Here is a 17,447-nt window from a genome sequence, read left to right as displayed (position 1 = left end):
CGGCTCACAGCAACCTCTGCCTCCTGGGTTCAAGTGCTTCTCCTGCCTCAGCCTCCCGAGTAGATAGTATTACAGGCATGCGCAACGCAACCACACCCGGCTAATTTTGTATTTTTAGTAGAGACAGGGTTTCTCCATGCTGGTCAGGCTGGTCTCGAACTCCCGACCTCAGGCAATCTGCCCGCCTTAGCCTCCTAAAGAGCTGGGATTACAGGCGTGAAACACCATGTATTTTTTACGATTTCTTCATCTGAATTTTTGTCTATACGCCACAAATAAATTGAATCCAATATCAATTGCATGATTTTTCACAAACCTAGGACTTTTTGAAATTTTAAGGGCTTTGAGAAGGATACTTGAGCGTACCAAAGTAATTAATAGTAAAAGTCTCTTTTCTACATGTTTTGCCAAGGAGAGACACGCACATTCACCATGGAAATCTCCAGCAGTTAAGCTCACCACTGCCCCCCATGGCATCCCCTGTAGAAGACACGAGTTCTAAACCAACTTGCCTTCCTTTCTTATCTCCTTGGACCTCTGAATTCTTGGAGTTGGATATCTTATTAATCATTTTTCCTATAAAGTATTGGAAAACCATGGGGAAAAATGGAGAAGATATCCAACCCTCCACTTGACAATTAGCCCAGCACTTAATGTTACTCTTTTTTTCATGGGAAATGCCATGATTTTCTATTTAGCTCCCATTGTTAATGCCAGGTTTGCTCTCTAGAGATGAAGATGTGTTCTCAATAGGACTGTACCTGCACTCTCTGCAAGCTGGAGCTGGAGTCAGGAACATTAGTGTAATCCTAGTAAGCCATGCAAATTGTTTACCAACCACTAATGACATAGGTCAAGAAGTCAGCTTTTCTCAAAGGGATCCTTTTAAAGGATGTTGAACAATTTGAGCCTTTCTTTGATCCTCATTATTTTAATTCTATGGGGTAGCTTTATTTTACCACAATATTCGTATCTCGATGATTTTTTCTTTAAATCTATTATCAAAAGTTTGAAACACAGAGTGGATGGTAAACATGGCTTGCACATCTTTTATCTGACAAAACTTCTAAGAGGTAAAATGTCAGCCTCCTTATCAGCTGAGTGAATTCTACACTCAAGTCGTCGGCTAGGTAAGGGATAACAGAAAGTTTTATCTGCTTTGAGTTCTGAAGGGCACTTTTCTGCTTTTTTTCTGGCTGCTCTAAACCTGTCTAAAATTCAGCTCAAAATAAGTATGTGTTTGGTTCAACCTCAGAGAGACAGAGGTTACTGCAGATAGGAATTTGAAAGAGATAGCAACCCACGGCACAGCATCAGCTCGCCTAGCCAACAGTTATTCTTTTCCATGAAGAAGTCTGCTGTAAGATCCTGATAAAATCAGGAATCAAATCTCAAGATAAGAATTTCTTTTGAAGCGCTTGACTTCCAAAAATGAGCAAATCTGCCTCTGTCCATCTCTATCCCCAGAAAAGCATAGTACACCTGAAATCTGCTTTTCCTGGGTTGCCATCTGATATGGTTTGGATCTGTGTCTCCGTCCAAATCTCACGTTCAGTTGTAATCCCCAGTGTTGGAGGTGGGGCCTGATGGGAGGTGATGGGATCAAGGGTGTGGATCCTTCATGAATGGTTAGCACCATCCCCTTGGTGCTGTCTCCTGAGAGAGTTCTCGGGACATCCGGTTGTTTAAAAGAACGTGGCACGCTCCCCACCCTCAGTCCTGCTCCTGCTCTGAGATGCCTCCTCCTGCTTTGCCTTCCGTCATGAGTAAAAGCTCCCTGAGGCCTCCCCAGATGCAGATTCTGCCATCTTTCCTGTACAGCGTGCAGAACCATGATCCAATTAATGCTCATTTCTTTATAAATTACCCCGTCTCAGGTATTTCCTTATAGCAGTGCAAGAACAGGCTGATATACCATCTCACCAAGCATGAGTAGGACTACAACAGGGCAAAGAGATTTCCCCTGACGTAAGGGCAGCATTTGCCATAGAAATGCCATATAAGTCTCTGTATAAGTGCTTTCTACTGAAGTATCTCATTCAATTCTCCAAGAAGCATATGGTGTCATCTATACCATCTCTCTTTTACAGAGGAGACAAATAGACAAGAAGGAACTAAATGATTTGCCTGAGTTTACACAGCTCCTAAACAGTGGAGCTGGAGTGTGAACCTGGATGGCCTGACCCCACATGTGCCCCACATTTTATCACAAGCCTATCTCCTCTCCTACAGTGCTCAAAACCAAGAGCAAAGACCTCAAACCACACAAACCCATAAAGCTATAACCTCCCTCAGAGCACTCCTGCCTCTTTCCCCTTCTCTGCCTCCCACACTTAGGATAGCTAAACTTGACCAAGAGGTATGAACGGGCTGGGTTTCCACCACCCACTTTCACGCCTGAAGGCCTGTTTTCCTGCTTTCTTGTATTCAGGAGTAAGCTAGGCTGAGATGCAAACATGTCTTCTCACCAGTTTCTGTATGATCTGCATGAGCAAATGAGCTGTTGGAGGTCACTGAGGAACTAAATGGTGTTGATTAATTCAACATTCACTCATTCTTTCAACAAACAACTGCTGTTTAGTTAGAGGAATGGGCCAGGCAGTCGCAGGTAGACTGTCAATTTTGATGTTTCCAAGCACTGTCACTGTGTACTGTGAATGTGTCTTATGATATTATTTGTGTCAAGTTCTCTGTGAACATAGGATATAATAATTGTTGATATACAGGGACATTTTGTTTCTCCTTGCTCTAAGATAAACTTCAGTCTCCTTCACCCAACCGTCTCTTGCGTCCTTCACCCAGCTAGCATCTATGCATATGCAAGATGCAAAGCCTCTCTCAGTTACTCCCAGGCCTCCACAGCGCCCCATGATTGACACTACACTGTCATAGTGAAGAACATTCTTTTCACAGCAACTATTGCATTTGTAATTAACTCATGCAACCATTTGTTTAGCATCTACCTTCACGGGTAGATTATAAGCCAAATGAGAAGAAAGGAACATGCCTGTTTGTTCACAGCTGTATCTTTAGAACCAAGCATAGTATGCAGCACACATGAAGCCCCCAGTAAAGAGGAGAGACAATGATGATGATGGTGGTTGAGGATGAGAACCATCTCCCGTTCACTGTCTACATTACCATGACTTCCCTAGTTGACTCTCTTCTTCACATCACTTTACTATTCCAGGAAACTCTTGGCCAGAAAGTTAAAAGTCCAAATGGCTTTATTGCCCATTCCAGGAACTTCTTCAGAGACCCACTTACTCTTGAAGAGAAAGCATCAAATGGCCACTTTCACCCTAAGATTCTTTGAACTCCTCAGCCCAATATCCTTGCCTTGCTCTGTCCATCTATTCTAAACTATAATATCATGATCTTTATTCAATGTAAACAAGGCTGTACATGGAAAGACCCACCTTACAACACACATTGAAATCTCAATAAATATCCTGAATTTGCCCATCCTCCTGGAACACCACCAAGACTCTGTTGAGGTAGTGCTCTCCCATAATTCAGTTAAACAGAAAACTCTGTCTTGTCAAGAGGTTATTCTGGTAATATATGAGAGATCCAGCGTTTGACATGACTAACATCAACCATCCCAAGACAAGCCTCAATTACGAAGTTATTTCAACTCTCTGCTCCAACATCATAACCTCAAAAAGGCATTTCTTGAGGCATTATCAAGACACTGTTAAAATAAAAAAACTATAGACAAATTAAATCTAACAGAGTTTAATTGAGCAAGGAACAATTCGAGAATCAGGCTGCCATCGGAACCAGAAGAGTTTCAGAGAGCTCCACTCCTCAACACAGGCAGTCAGCCTTTATGGACAGAAAACAGAAGTGAGGTAGGGAAGCACCTTGATTAGTTACAGATCAGCCTTGCCTCGTTGGAACAGTACCTGATCCCTTGGCCGCCTGGGATTATCTGAAGCTGAGCTGCCGTGATTGGCTGAGACTCAGCAACCTGTTACAGACTCACATTCCCAAGTTAGGCTTTCACTTAGTTCACATACTAAATTAGGCTGTAGTTTGTTAACTAAGGACTCAGTCACAGAGGCATCCTCAGGCCAAATATAGTTAAATTTAACAACACTATCTACAGCAGTACCTTCTGGCCGCTTCTATTCTCTCAGATGGATTGCTTGTTTTGGGCTCATTATTGGCACTATATATAATAAGTATTCACTTGCATATGTGTTGGAAAGGAAAATACCTTGGGCCCCCCAAATTACTAAGCTAAAGGGAAAAGTCAAGCTGGGAAATGCTTAGGGCCAACCTGCCTCCCATTCTATTCAAAGTCATCCCTCTGCTCACTGAGATAAATGCATACCTGATTGCCTCCTTTGGAAAGGCTAATCAGAAACTCAACAACACAACCACTTTGTATCCCACCTATCTGTGACCTGGAATCCCCCTCCCCGCTTTGAGTCTTCCTGCCTTTGTTTCGAGTTGTCCTGCCTTTCCAGACCAAACCAACGTATTTCTTACATGTATTGATTGATGTCTTATGTTTCCCTAAAATGTAGAAAACCAAGCTGTGCCCCAACCACCTTGCGCACATGTCGTCAGGACCTCCTGAGGCCGTGTCACAGGCACACATCCTCAACCTTGGCAAAATAAACTTTCTAAATTAACTGAGACCAGTCTTAGATTGTATGGGTTCACATGTGTCAACATCTGATCCCTCTTTTAGAATGTAAGCTCCATGAAGGGAGAAACTCGAGTTTGCTCCCAACACATCCTCACACCTAGGATTATGTCTGCCATGTAGCTGGGACCGAGTAAGTATAAAGGATGATGGAAGTGAGGTAGGAGGTGGCAACTGACTCTGGATGTGGGGATTCCCATACCAGGTCGGATAGAGGACTCGCTAAAACAGGGCTGGGGGAGAAGCAGCTTTCCATTAGACATGCACACCAGCCTGCCATGTCGGTTTACCACTGCCATGGCAACACCTGGAAATGACCACCCATTTCCTAGAAATGTCTGTATCATCTGCCCCTTAATTTCCATGTAATTAAAAGTGGGCATAAATATTGCTGCAGAACTGCCTCTGGGCACACTGCCTATAGGGGGAGCCCTGCTCTGTAAGGAGCAGTACGCAGTTGCTTCAATAAAAGTTACTGTTTAACACACCTGGCTCACCCTTGAATTCTCTTCTGGGTAAAGCCAAGAACCCTCCTGGACGCAGCGCCAATGTGGGGATTCATCTACTCTGCAGCAGGAGCTGTTTAAGTCTACCTAGGAGAGAACAAGGAAGTGGCAAACAGGAGAATGCTTTGCTTCACAAGAATCTAGTGTCTTGCTCTTCCAAACATCTCATCCTACTGTATCATCATAACACCCTAAAAGCCGCCATATATTGTTCTTGTTTTACAAATGACAGACTTGATGCTCACAAAGATTCTGTAAGACCAGGCCGGGCTCGGTGGCTCACACCTGTAATCCTCCCTTTGGGAGGCCAGAAATTCAAGACCAGCCTGGCCAACCTGGTGAAACCTCGTGTCTACTAAAAATAGAAAAATTAGTGGAGCATGGTGGCACATGCCTATAATCCTAGCCACTCGGGAGGCTGAGGCAGGAGAATCGCTTGAACCCAGGTGGTGGAGGTTGCAGTAAGCCGAGATCATATCACTGCACTCCAGCCTTGGCGACAGAGCAGTCTCAAAAAAAAAAAAAAAAAAAAACCGGGCTCGGTGGCTCACGCCTGTAATCCCAGCACTTTGGGAGGCCGAGGCAGGCAAATCACGAGGTCAGGAGATGGAAACCATCCTGGCTAACACGCTGAAACGCCGTCTCTACTAAAAATACAAAAAATTAGCCGGGCGCAGTGGTGGGTACCTATAGTCCCAGCTACTCAGGAGGCTGAGGCAGGAGAATGGCGTGAACCCGGGAGGCAGAGCATGCAGTGCGCTGAGATTGTGCCACTGCACTCCAGCCTGGGCGATAGAGACTCTGTCTCAAAAAAAAAAAAGAAAAAAAAGAAAAAAGAAGAAGAGAGAAGGAAAGATTGTGTAATTGTATAATACCAGGCCGGGCATGGTGGCTCATGCTTGTAATTGCAGCATTTTGGGAGGCCAAGGTGGGTGGATCACTTGAGGCTCAGAGTTAGAGACCATCCTGGCCAACATGGTGAAACCCCGTGTCTACTAAAAATATAAAAATTAGCCGGGTGTGGCAGCAGGCACCTGTAATCCTAGCTACTGAGGCATGAGAATCATTTGAACCCGGGAGGTGGAGGTTGCATAAGATCAAGCAGTGCCTCTCCTAGACATTGATCCTCCAACAACAGTTTCCATGATGCATATCAGGTGGCACTGGGTACGAGAAATAGAGATGAAGAAGGACTGATTACCTCCTTTCATCACAGTCTCCGATGCCCAGGAGAGGTTACTCTGCTAAGATTAGAATTAGACTGTGCTCAGCTGACATTTGTAACAGCCAGAGACTCGTGAAAACCTCAAGCAATTTACATGAGAAGCATCATCTTTAATTCTCAGGGGATGGTGATTCTTAAGGATGAAGACAAAGCCCAGGTTCATAGTAATCCTTAATCCAAAGGGAATATTATGCATGGAAAACACAGAATTAATCCCCCAAAATGACTGAGAAAGACGACTGATTCAAATCTCAAGACGAGTCCTGCTTTAAAATGTCTCATAGGAAGTTTGACATGCATTTGTATTAATTTTTAAACAGTAGCTAGCAATTCAAAAAACACTTTTTAAAAACTTTCTACATCTATAGGAAGCATGGAAACATGAATACCTTATTTGGTTTTGTTTTGGTTATTATTGTTGTTGTTTGTGGCAAAGATAATCCATAAGAAATGAAAGAAGGAAGGAATGAAAGAGAACAGGAAATATGTTCCACCTCAGGAGGGATAAGAAGAGGCTGAGTTATCCAGATAATTATCGCAAATCCTCACTTCAGTTCTTCAATGTAGAAAGAACTTCCCTGAAGACTATCTTCCTTTAACAACTGCTGAGCATAATTTAGGGGGAAAAATCTACTAATGACCCTCTATTCAAAAGGTTTGAGAAGGAGCAGTGGGTGGCATATTTAAATGATAATGAAATACCACCAGGGTAGGGGAAGACACAGATTACCTAATAGACAGAGTTTTCTACATTAATAATGACTGTAGAGTAAGAATGTCAGAAAATGAGAATAAGAATGAAAAGCCATTTTTCCCCGAATTTCTGATGAGACTATCTTTTGTGAAAAGAACAGAGAGGAAGAGGGGTATAAGAAATAAAGAAAGACCAAGAGACTCATTTTTCCATCTGCCCACTTTAAATTGTCACTTCTCCTCCCTTTTGATGGATTTAAAAGTAAAATCCTTATCAGAAATGACTATCAGATGGAGTTTCGTATCAAAAACCATGGTCTCCTAAAGGGAGGAGACAAACTTCAGAAAAAATATAAAGCGACAGAAGTTTGGAGATGATCTGTATTCAAAGCACCTGATTTCATCAGATTTCTCATTAGAAACAAGTGTCCCCATCAATGTAGGATAAAGCATTCCTCTCACACCAAATGAATACAAAATGTCAAGGTGATTAGCATAGACGAGCTTGTGAGTGGCATATAACAGAAATAACCTTGATAAGGTTCCTATCTCCAAATTTGGAGATACGCACCGAAGAGATTTATCAAATACCAAACACATTTCACAAAAAGCATTTAGAGGAATAAAGGTTATATTTGGAAGAAATGGACAGGAATGTGCATTCTGAACCTCAGATATGTATACCTAACTCTCTAATAGACATCCACGTGGATGCCACTCAGCAAAACCTACCTAACTTCATTACTTCTTCTACCCTCAATGCCTCAACCTTGAATCTCGTGAGGTTGCTGTGCACATCTTTAAATTTAGAGACAGGAACCTTATCAAGGTTGTTTCTGTTATGTGCCATTCATGGGCTAGTCTATGCTAAGCACCTTGACGTTTTGTATTCATTCAATGTGAAAAGATTGCCATGGCAAAACATGGGATCCTTCGTTTCTACTTGTTTTTAATCTATCTCTAATTCATGTCAATTCTCCCTGTTTAATATAGCCAGAATGCATTTCCACATGTCCATCTTCGTGGTGCCATCCTAGTCCAGACCACCGCCATCTCTCCCCAGGAGCTCTGCAACAGCTTCCCAACTGATAATCCCTTACACAAGCTTGCCTCCATTCCCACATTGCAGCAGAGTGATCCTTTGAAATGCAAATTGACCACCATCACTCCCCTTCAAAGCAGGGCTTTGATAGTTTGCCAATTCCTGTTTGAATTTGCACAAAATCCTTACTGTGCCCTGTGCTAGGCAGAATAATAGGCCCCCCAACAGTGTCCACATGCTACTTCCTGGAACCTGTAAGTATTTTATGTTTTATTGCAAAGGAGAATTAAGGTTGTAGATGGAATTAAGGTTGCTAATCAGTTGACCTTACGCAAGAAATTATTCTGAATGATCCAGGTGGGTTCAGTGGAATCACGAGAATCGTTAAAAGTGTCACCAGAAAGCAGTCCTGATTTGGACTCCAATAAACGGTTCTTGGATTTTGTGTAAGAAAGAATTCAGGGAGAGCCCACAATGCAAACCAAAAGCAAGTTTATTTAGAAAGTAAAGTGGTGAAATAACAGCTACTCCATAGACAGAGTAGGACATTCATAATGTAAGAGGAGGAAACCAGCCACCCTATGTACAATGCTTGTTTATATACAGCATAACAAAAAAAAAATGGGAAGATGTGCTTTACTATCAGGGTTTGTGATAAAGGATTAATTTTCTTAATTACTATATTTTGCAAGAATCAGCATTATTATCTTTAAAGCAAAATTAGGAATCCTTTTGTTTTCAAGATATGGGGATATCAGGACATTCTGAGCCTGGGTCTGTTTAGTAAACATTATTAATCTGTTCCCTTAACTGTAAATATCTAGAGGCTAGGAATCCCTAACTTCCTATGAATGCCGCCCAGGAAGTCTCAACCTCCTTTTACTCATCTCCTATACAAGATGGAGAAGAACGAGGTAAAAGAAGAGTCAGTATCAGAGGGATTTGATGTGAAAGAGACTCAACCTGCCATTGTCGGCTTTGAAAATGGAAGGACGCCACAAGCCAAGGAATGTAGGCAGCCTCTAGTGGCCAAAAAAAAGCAAGGAAACAGGTTCTTTCCCATAGAGAGTTCAGAAGGAATGCTGCCCCATTGACACCTTGATTTTAGCTCAGTAAGACCCATGTTAGACTTTTAACTTCCAGAACTGTAAGACAGAAAATTTGCATGGTTTTAAATCAATGATTTGTGATCATTTGATGCAGCATCAGTGGAAAGCTTACACATGCCCTACAAGACCCTAGAGACAGTGGACACTGCCCATCTCTGTGGCTTCATTCTGTGCCACTCTCTGTCCACCCCTTCCCCTTTTTTCTTCTGGTTTTCCTAATGCTTGTGATCCCCCAGGTCCCCAGAAGTGCTGTTACCTCTCCTTTGAATGTCTCTCTTTCCCTGGCTCACTCTTGTGTCAAAGGCATGTGAACAAGGGCAACTCCATATTGAATAGGGGCTGCGTAAAAGGAGGCTAAGACCTACTGGGCTGCATTCCCAGATAGTAAGGAATTCTAAGCCACAGGATGAGACAGGAGGTCAGCACAAGATACAGGTCATAAAGACCTTGCTCATAAAACAGGTTGCAGTAAAGAAGCCAAGATCCACCAATACCAAGATGGCAATGGGAATGACCTCTGGTTGTCCTCACTGCTACACTCCCACCAGTGCCATGACAGTTTACAAATACAAGGCAACGTCAGGAAGTTACCCTACATGGTCTAAAAAGGGAAGGCATAAATAATCCTCCCCTTGTTTAGCATATCATCAAGAAATAATCATAAAAACAGGCAACCAGCAGCCCTTGTTGCTGCTCTGCCTATGAGGTAGCCATTCCTTTATTCCTTCACTTTCCTAAGAAACTTTCTTTCACTTTACTCTGTGGATTTGCCCTAAATTACTTCTTGCTTGAGATCCAAGAACCCTGTCTTAGAGTCTGGATCCAAACCCATTTTCGGTAACACCAGTAACTAATTTAGGTCATGAGTGAGCTAGGCCTAACTCTCCCCCAACCCCTATACTTCCTGTCCCCTTGCTGCAGATAGTCGGACGGCCTGTTTCGTGACCCCTTAGCACCCATACTATTCATCACTCTTGTTAGCACTGAAGCCATCCTCACATGGTTAACAAGAATTTTGGGCAGAAATATGGTCATAATTAAGTATTAATCAGGCTGCACTTTGTTCCACTTCCTTCTAACTGAAAGTCACTAGATACCAACCTTTTGCATCCCCATTGTTCCTGTACATAGGATTTCTGATACTAGAATCATAAAGCTTTTGTTTAAGAATTGCTTAAGATGGGCTGGGCACGGTGGCTCATGCCTGTAATCCCAGCACTTTAGGAGGACGAGGTGGGTGGATCATGAGGTCTGGAGTTCAAGACCAGCCTGGCCAAGATGGTAAAACCCTCTCTCTACTAAAAATAGAAATAAAAAAAAATCAGCTGGGCATGGTGGCAGGCACCTGTAATCCCAGCTACTCAGGAGGCTGAGGCAGGAGAATCGCTTGAACCTGGGAGGCAGAGGATTCAGTGAGTCAAGATCACACCACTGCACTCCAGCCTGGGTGACAGAGCGAGACTCTCTCAAAAAATAAAATAAAATAAAATAAAATAAAATAAAATAAAAAATAAAGGAATCGCTTAAGATGTTTATCAAATCCAACATTCCAGTGAAACAGCTGATGCCAACCAGTTTAAAGACCTCCCAGAGAGGAACAGAATCAGTATGAGAATACTGTTTACCTCCCTGTCCATGACTTTACGATGACCTCTTTGATCAATGAATGATCTCCACATTTTAGCCCTCTCCAAGAACCCTAGCCCTCAGCTCCTCCGGGAGATGGATTTGATGTTTGCTGCTCCTCGTTCAGCAGCCCCATAATTAAACCACTTTCTCTGCTGTAACCCAGTGTCTCCTATTGACTTGCTGCACACATCAGGCAACAAACCTATTAAAATCACAGCACTTCTTCAAGTTCAAGATGATTGACTCAGGTTGGGTTGCTTGGCATTTCCCTGGCTTTAGTATGAAAGTCCCACCTCTAAGGACACTCCTCAATTGTGGAAATCCTGGGATGGCCAGTTACTCTGTCAACTTGGCCTTCCTCAGCAGCACAGTGCCTGGCATACAGTAAGTATTCCATAAAATATTCATTTAATGAATCAATGAGTTTTGTTTTCTGCCCGCTTTCACTGCATGCACATACATTTCTTGCCATATTCCATTCCACTCCTGATCCTTCTATCTAATTGTCTAAGTCTGCCCCAGGCTACTGGATCCTGGGAATTACCCAAATCTGTAATCATGCCAGTCTCCTAGAGCTATGCCACCCCTCACCCCTTCCCATTTCATTCTCCTGCATTATGAGAATGAGTTCTTGACTAATTCATTCAATGAAGAAAACTTTTATTGTGTACCTACCACAAAATAAAAGATTAAGTTCCTTTGGATACATTTCTACAGGTTCAAATTGTTCCGTACTTTTGAAAGTGAACATAATAATGGTCACCTGGTTTGAGAAGTTGGTTAAACATGCACTCTTTGAAGAAGAACTAACTTTTTCAGGTCTCTTGAGTGCCATTGTATGTCTTAGAAGAGGAATGAATTTGGAATTACATAACCAGGTAGCCACTGTTGTGGATTTCTAACCTTTAAAGTACTCTTTAAGAGAAAGCCAAGAACTTAGATTTCATCCAGTGACCAAGTTTTTAAAAAAATATTTTAGTCCCAGTGCTCAACTGTATGAGAATTTGTTTTTGCTTGAACTGTGTTAGTTTTCAAACTACTATTAATAAAGATCAACTCATCTGCCTATTAAAAATTCAGATTTCCATCTAGGCACACGCCCAGAGTTTTTGATTTAGAACCTACTGACTGATATTCTAGTAATTAGCTCAGGAATTGTGATGGAGAGGACCTTAACAAACTTCAACATTGGCAAGTTGTCTAATTATTAACATGGTATTAAAAATAGGTAATCTTGATATAATCCCTTCAAAAGCTTATAATTATGGATCAAAAGGAATACAGGTGTAGGTGTGTGTGTTGCAGTGGGAAGGTATTCAAGTGAAGAGGTGGGGAAAATATTCATAAAATGTAATACTTAATGGAAAATGAAGGTATCTTTTTATTCTCACCACTAAAAAACAGTAATCCAAAGTATCTGATAGTAGAATATCACGTATTTCACATATTGCAGACAAAAATTACCTGGACAAAACCATCTGGATAAAATTGTCCAAAGTATTGCTTGCACATCATGAAACATAGTAACAAAACCTTGAGAATAAAACTGTCGCTTTTCTGACTTTGTGAAAATGCCATCCACTTAGTGATTTGGCATGCATTGGGACTGAGATATGAGCATGCTGCCTTCCTGATATTGACCAGTTTGTACCCAAGGGGGTGTTTTCTCACAAGGCAGACATACAGGATATCTTTGGAGGGATTCTCAAGAAGAGGCAGGAGGATTCGTCTCAACGTGGAAAAATTTTCTTATGATTTTCTGTGCCACTGTCACTTTAATACTTTTATTTTTTTTACAGAGATGGTCTTATAAAGATGTGTTTTGCCAAGTGATTACCTAAGCTTTCCTAAGACACGTATCAATTAGAGAGAAAACAGAGACAATAAGTAGTGCTTGCTGCTTGACAGCACGTGTCTTTGTAGCCTATATATCTGCCTCTACTGGGCTGCTTGTAAGAATGTGGCATCCAGGTGTACAATTGAGAGACTTACTTCCACATCAATCATTTCCCCCCATTAATTTATTTCCACTCCTTTGCCATTTTGGCTCTCCCAGCCCACAACATATATTCGTATTCTCGTTCTTTCACCTGCAAATATCTGAGGTTTGTTCTGGTTTGGGTTATCCTGGAACAACTTTGGCTTTTCAGGTTGATGGCGGTGATTCAAATTACTCACCCCATATTCGCTGCTAAGAAGCCATCCCTGTTGGGACGGCACAATACAGAAAGACTTGGCATCAGCATGTCGACTTTAAATGCACCATTAAAGGAGACCATTGAACCTCATAGGGCCCTCCTTCTTTGGTGTTTTGGGGGAAATGAGAGAAAAGGGGAATCAACATGCCACATGGTGGGTGGATTTCTTCAGAAATGCATTAATTCATAACATGGATAAATATAAAGCATTTATAGACTCCCTCCATGGAAATAAACTGTCGAGTAATATAAAGTGCTCTGAACTCTTGGGTTCCAAAAAATGGGTCAGATTGAAAAATGCTTTCCTCAATGCCATTTTGAGTTCCTTTAGAATAAGGGTTGCAATGTAAACTGCTCTGGATCACAAAGAAAAACTCGAACAGTGATTTTGCAGATAGTAGATTGCCAATAAATGATATTTCTTGAATATGATAAAACTCTGACTAGGCTCTTTTTAAATGAAGTAACTTCATTTGTCATGGATCGTTTTCACTCAGGTGTTAAAGGATTTTCTATGTCTTCTCTGACCTTCTGCAGCTATACATCCAGTCTTCCTTACAGTGGTACTTTCCCACTGCATAGCCTGTCCTGCTGTGCAAACTGTCTCCACATCTATCATCTCATCCAATTTCCCCCCCACCTCTTTACAGAATCTTATGGCTTTCAGAGATGAGGAGACAGAGGCCAAGGAAGTTGACAACTGGCAAAGTTCTCCCGGGTGGTGTGTGATGAGGCTGGAACTGAAGCACTAGTTTTAGAATCAACATCCAGCCCTCTCTAGATTATAAATCCAGCCCTCTCTACAGCACATCATGAGATATCAGCTCTGTAGGAAGAATGCTGAAGTTCAAAGCTAGCTCTGACATTTACTTACCAGTGGGTCTTGACTTCTCAGAGCCATAGGGTCCCCATTTCAACTGAGACTAAAAATAAATCACAGTTCCCCGTCTCTACTAAAAATACAAAAAATTAGCCAGGCGTGGTGGCGGGCGCCTATAGTCCCAGCTACACGGGAGGCTGAGGCAGAATGGCGTGAACCTGGGAGGCGGAGCTTGCAGTGAGCCGAGATCTCGCCACTGCACTCCAGCCTGGGCGACAGAGCGAGACTCCATCTCAAAAAAAAAAAAAAAAAAAAAAAAAAAAAAAAAAATATATATATATATATATATATATATATGTATATGTATATATATGAATATATATATATCACAGTTATTTAAGCCTTCTTATTTGCAAGTATCCATTTGTTGTTCCATTTACCAAAAGAGGAAACCAAGGCTCACAGAGTCAAGAAGCTGCCAAGGTCACAGACTGAGGTCAAAGATGGAGGCTTGATTCCACTATGAATGGGCTTCATTCTCCCATCATGCTGCGTCTCTCACCCACTGCCTACTGTGAGGCTGGAAAACCAGGCAATACCTGGAGAACAATGATGGACATATGGACATAGGAAATATCACAATGCAGGTTCTCTGACTTTACTACAGATTTTCCATTTTTTTGTTTTATTTTTTCTTTTCTTTTCTTTTCTTTTTTTTTTCTTTTTTTTTTTTTTGGAGACAGTCTTGCTGTATCCCCCAGGCTGGACTGTAGTGGTGCGATCTCAGCTTACTGCAATCTCCGGCTCCCGGGTTCAACCGATTCTCCTGCTTCAGCCTCCCAAGTAGCTGGGGTTACAGGCGCGCGTCAACACACCCAGCTAATTTTTGTATTTTTAGTAGAGACGAGGTTTCACCATGTTGGCCAGGAGGGTCTCAATCTCTTGACCTCGTGATCCACCAGCCTCGGCCTCCCAAAGTGCTGGGATTACAGGCGTGAACCACCGCGCCCGGCCTGATTTTTTATTTTCATATTTACTGCATTTCTCATTATGATGAACATGGTTAAAGAAATGCCACTGTCTTTAGGTATATTTACCAATAGCACATTTCTAGAACTTCCTCCCTCTCCTGGCTCTCTTCTCTGAGGACGTATTTGTTTAGAGAGATGCATGAATAAAGCAGCATGCAGTACCAAGACCTACCACCTGGGGCCTGACGCGCATTCAAACATAAGACCACCACCTTCAAAGCCATCCTACTCACTTTTGCCTCCCATTTCTCTGAAATGAATGGAACCATCTTCCCGTCTGCCTTACGTGTCTAACACACATTCCAGTGTGAGTGTCATTTGCAACAGAATCCAATAGTATAAATGGATTAAGCGCTAAGCAAGCAGTATTCCCTAAACAAAACTGCAGAAAAATGTTCCTACAATTAAACTATCACATCGAAAGGGGATTTAGTTAGAAATACTAACAGGCATAATAGGTATTCCCAACTGAACTGTAACATTACTCCTGACATTATAGGATGACACTGTTCTCTCTTGCTTGACAGTAATATGAAACCAGGTCATCTTAAAATGCATTCACCAACCCAAGTAGATCCAGTCTCCAGAAGCAAATATCTCTCCCTCTTTGACCACAGGGGAAAAGTTTCTTCTGTCTAGAGCAGAATGGCAAAAGCTGGTATATATGTTACCTGCCACCTCCCCTTCCTGTACCCATGGAAGACATTGCTAATCAATCTCAGCACTTTCCGGCTGAGTTCCAATGAATTCTCAACAGAACTACAGGGATCCTCTGCGAATGAGAACTGGCAAGCAAGAAGAAATCTACTTGCCTGTCCTCTGTCTTATTTCACTCAGCCTGGAATAAAACTCCCTATGACCCAATCCAGATACACAGATGTGAAGAGTGCCTAAATCTATGGGATATTGAATCTTATTTCTCAATATATAATGACGATTCTAGCATATTTCTTTGATTTTTTTTTTTTTTTTTGAGATGCTATCTTGCTCTGTTGTCCAGGCTGGAGTGCAGTGGCATGATCTCGGCTCACTGCAACCTAGACCTCCTGGGTTCAAGCAATTCTCCTGCTTCAGCTTCCTGAGTAGCTGGGACTACAGGCGCACACCAACATGCCTGGCTAATTCTTTGTATTTTAGTAGAGATGGGGTTTCACCATGTTGCCCAGGCTAGTCTCAAACTCCGGAGCTCAGGAAATCTGCCCACCTTGGCCTCCCAAAGCGCTAGGATTACAGGCGTGAGCCACCACACCTGGCCACTTTCGTTGACTTTTAATAAAACTACTTCTCTGTGGAGTGGCTGACAAGTTGTCCTTATCTTTCCAAGTACCACTAGCCGGCATCTCTCAATAACCCTAAAGTAATACTTAGATTTCCTCTCCAAGTTGTTATTTCCTTCTTTAATCAAGGAAAATTTACTCAATGGTTAAAATATTTCTCTAGAAAAATCCTTCGGAGTCTAGTCATTCTGTTTCCTGCTCCCCCCTACCCCCACCAAAAAAGAAATAATTTTAATTCACTTTAATTGTTCTTTGGCCCTCGGGGTACTAAATAGTTATGCCCTTCTATGAGTTAGCATAGGGTGGCTTTCTTTTGATTTCTTCAACTAATGAGACAGTAGAAAATCATCTAGTGATATGAAAAATCACTTTATTATTAACTGATAAATAAATCTGACAGATGACAAGTATCTTTGTAGAAAAGATGTTACTGCTTTCTAACCATTCGTTGATGTAACATCTTTTAAAAGCCAATTCCTAATGTCTGTGATCTAAAAACTTAAACATATGCCACCTATTCTAAACTTAAGTCCATCCACGAAAATAAGCCTGTATCCATTTCTGATATATATATTTTTTAATTTTAAGAGTTTTTCAGAGGTGTAGAAATGACTGGACCATTTCGTAAACCAAACTCTGAAAAATCAAGGATGAAAAGCTGATGAGAAATTTGACAAGTGATAGAAAAGAATGTGAGGCAAAGAGAAGCTATGATGACAAAGGGAGATTTGAAAAAACACTGAATAAAAAGCAGAAAAGAAATGGAGAAATCTCAGGACTAAAACAACAGAACTATCAGATCCAAAGAACAAAACAGCTTTAAACAATATGAAAGAGTATAGCAAAGGAAAGAATGTCTGGCTGGGCGCAGTGGCTCACACCTGTCATCCCAGCGCTTTGGGGTGCTGAGGCATGTGGATCACCTGAGCTCAGGAATTCAAGACCAGCCTGGCCAACATGGCAAAACCCTGTCACTATGAAAAATACAAAACAAAAATCAGCTGGACATGGTGGCACATGACTGTAGTCCCAGCTACTCGGGAGGCTGAGTCAGGAGAATTGCTTGAGCCCGGGAGACAGAGGCTGCATTGAGGGGACATCATGCCACCGCACTCCAGCCTAGGTGGCAGAGCAAGATGCTGTCTCAAAAAAGAAAAAAAAAGAATGTCACATGTCAAGGACATCAAAACATGACATTGGATCAATAATAAAATACAATCAAAACTCTCAGTAAGATATTAAATAATGATTATGATCTGT

The 17,447-nt window shown here is 41.8% G+C and overlaps 1 protein-coding gene across 16 annotated transcripts in view, besides 2 other annotated features; it reads right to left on the bottom strand.

Moving 5' to 3' along the window:
• Window positions 1–17,447, bottom strand: part of RBFOX1 (RNA binding fox-1 homolog 1) — a 2,473,620-nt gene that overhangs the window by 1,362,950 nt on the left and 1,093,223 nt on the right. The window lies entirely within an intron of this gene.
• Window positions 6,810–7,695: an enhancer, noted in NCBI's record as "OCT4-NANOG hESC enhancer chr16:6392697-6393582 (GRCh37/hg19 assembly coordinates)". NCBI's record gives its function as "activates a minimal SCP1, AML or CMV promoter by ChIP-STARR-seq in primed H9 embryonic stem cells {active_cell/tissue: H9 hESC(primed)}" and the evidence as "EXISTENCE:reporter gene assay evidence [ECO:0000049][PMID:30033119]".
• Window positions 7,696–8,582: an enhancer, noted in NCBI's record as "OCT4-NANOG hESC enhancer chr16:6391810-6392696 (GRCh37/hg19 assembly coordinates)". NCBI's record gives its function as "activates a minimal SCP1, AML or CMV promoter by ChIP-STARR-seq in naive and primed H9 embryonic stem cells {active_cell/tissue: H9 hESC(naive and primed)}" and the evidence as "EXISTENCE:reporter gene assay evidence [ECO:0000049][PMID:30033119]".

Source organism: Homo sapiens, chromosome 16, assembly GCF_000001405.40.
Source record: "Homo sapiens chromosome 16, GRCh38.p14 Primary Assembly".
Classification (NCBI taxonomy): domain Eukaryota; kingdom Metazoa; phylum Chordata; class Mammalia; order Primates; family Hominidae; genus Homo; species Homo sapiens.
This window is presented reverse-complemented; position numbering and strand designations above follow the sequence as displayed.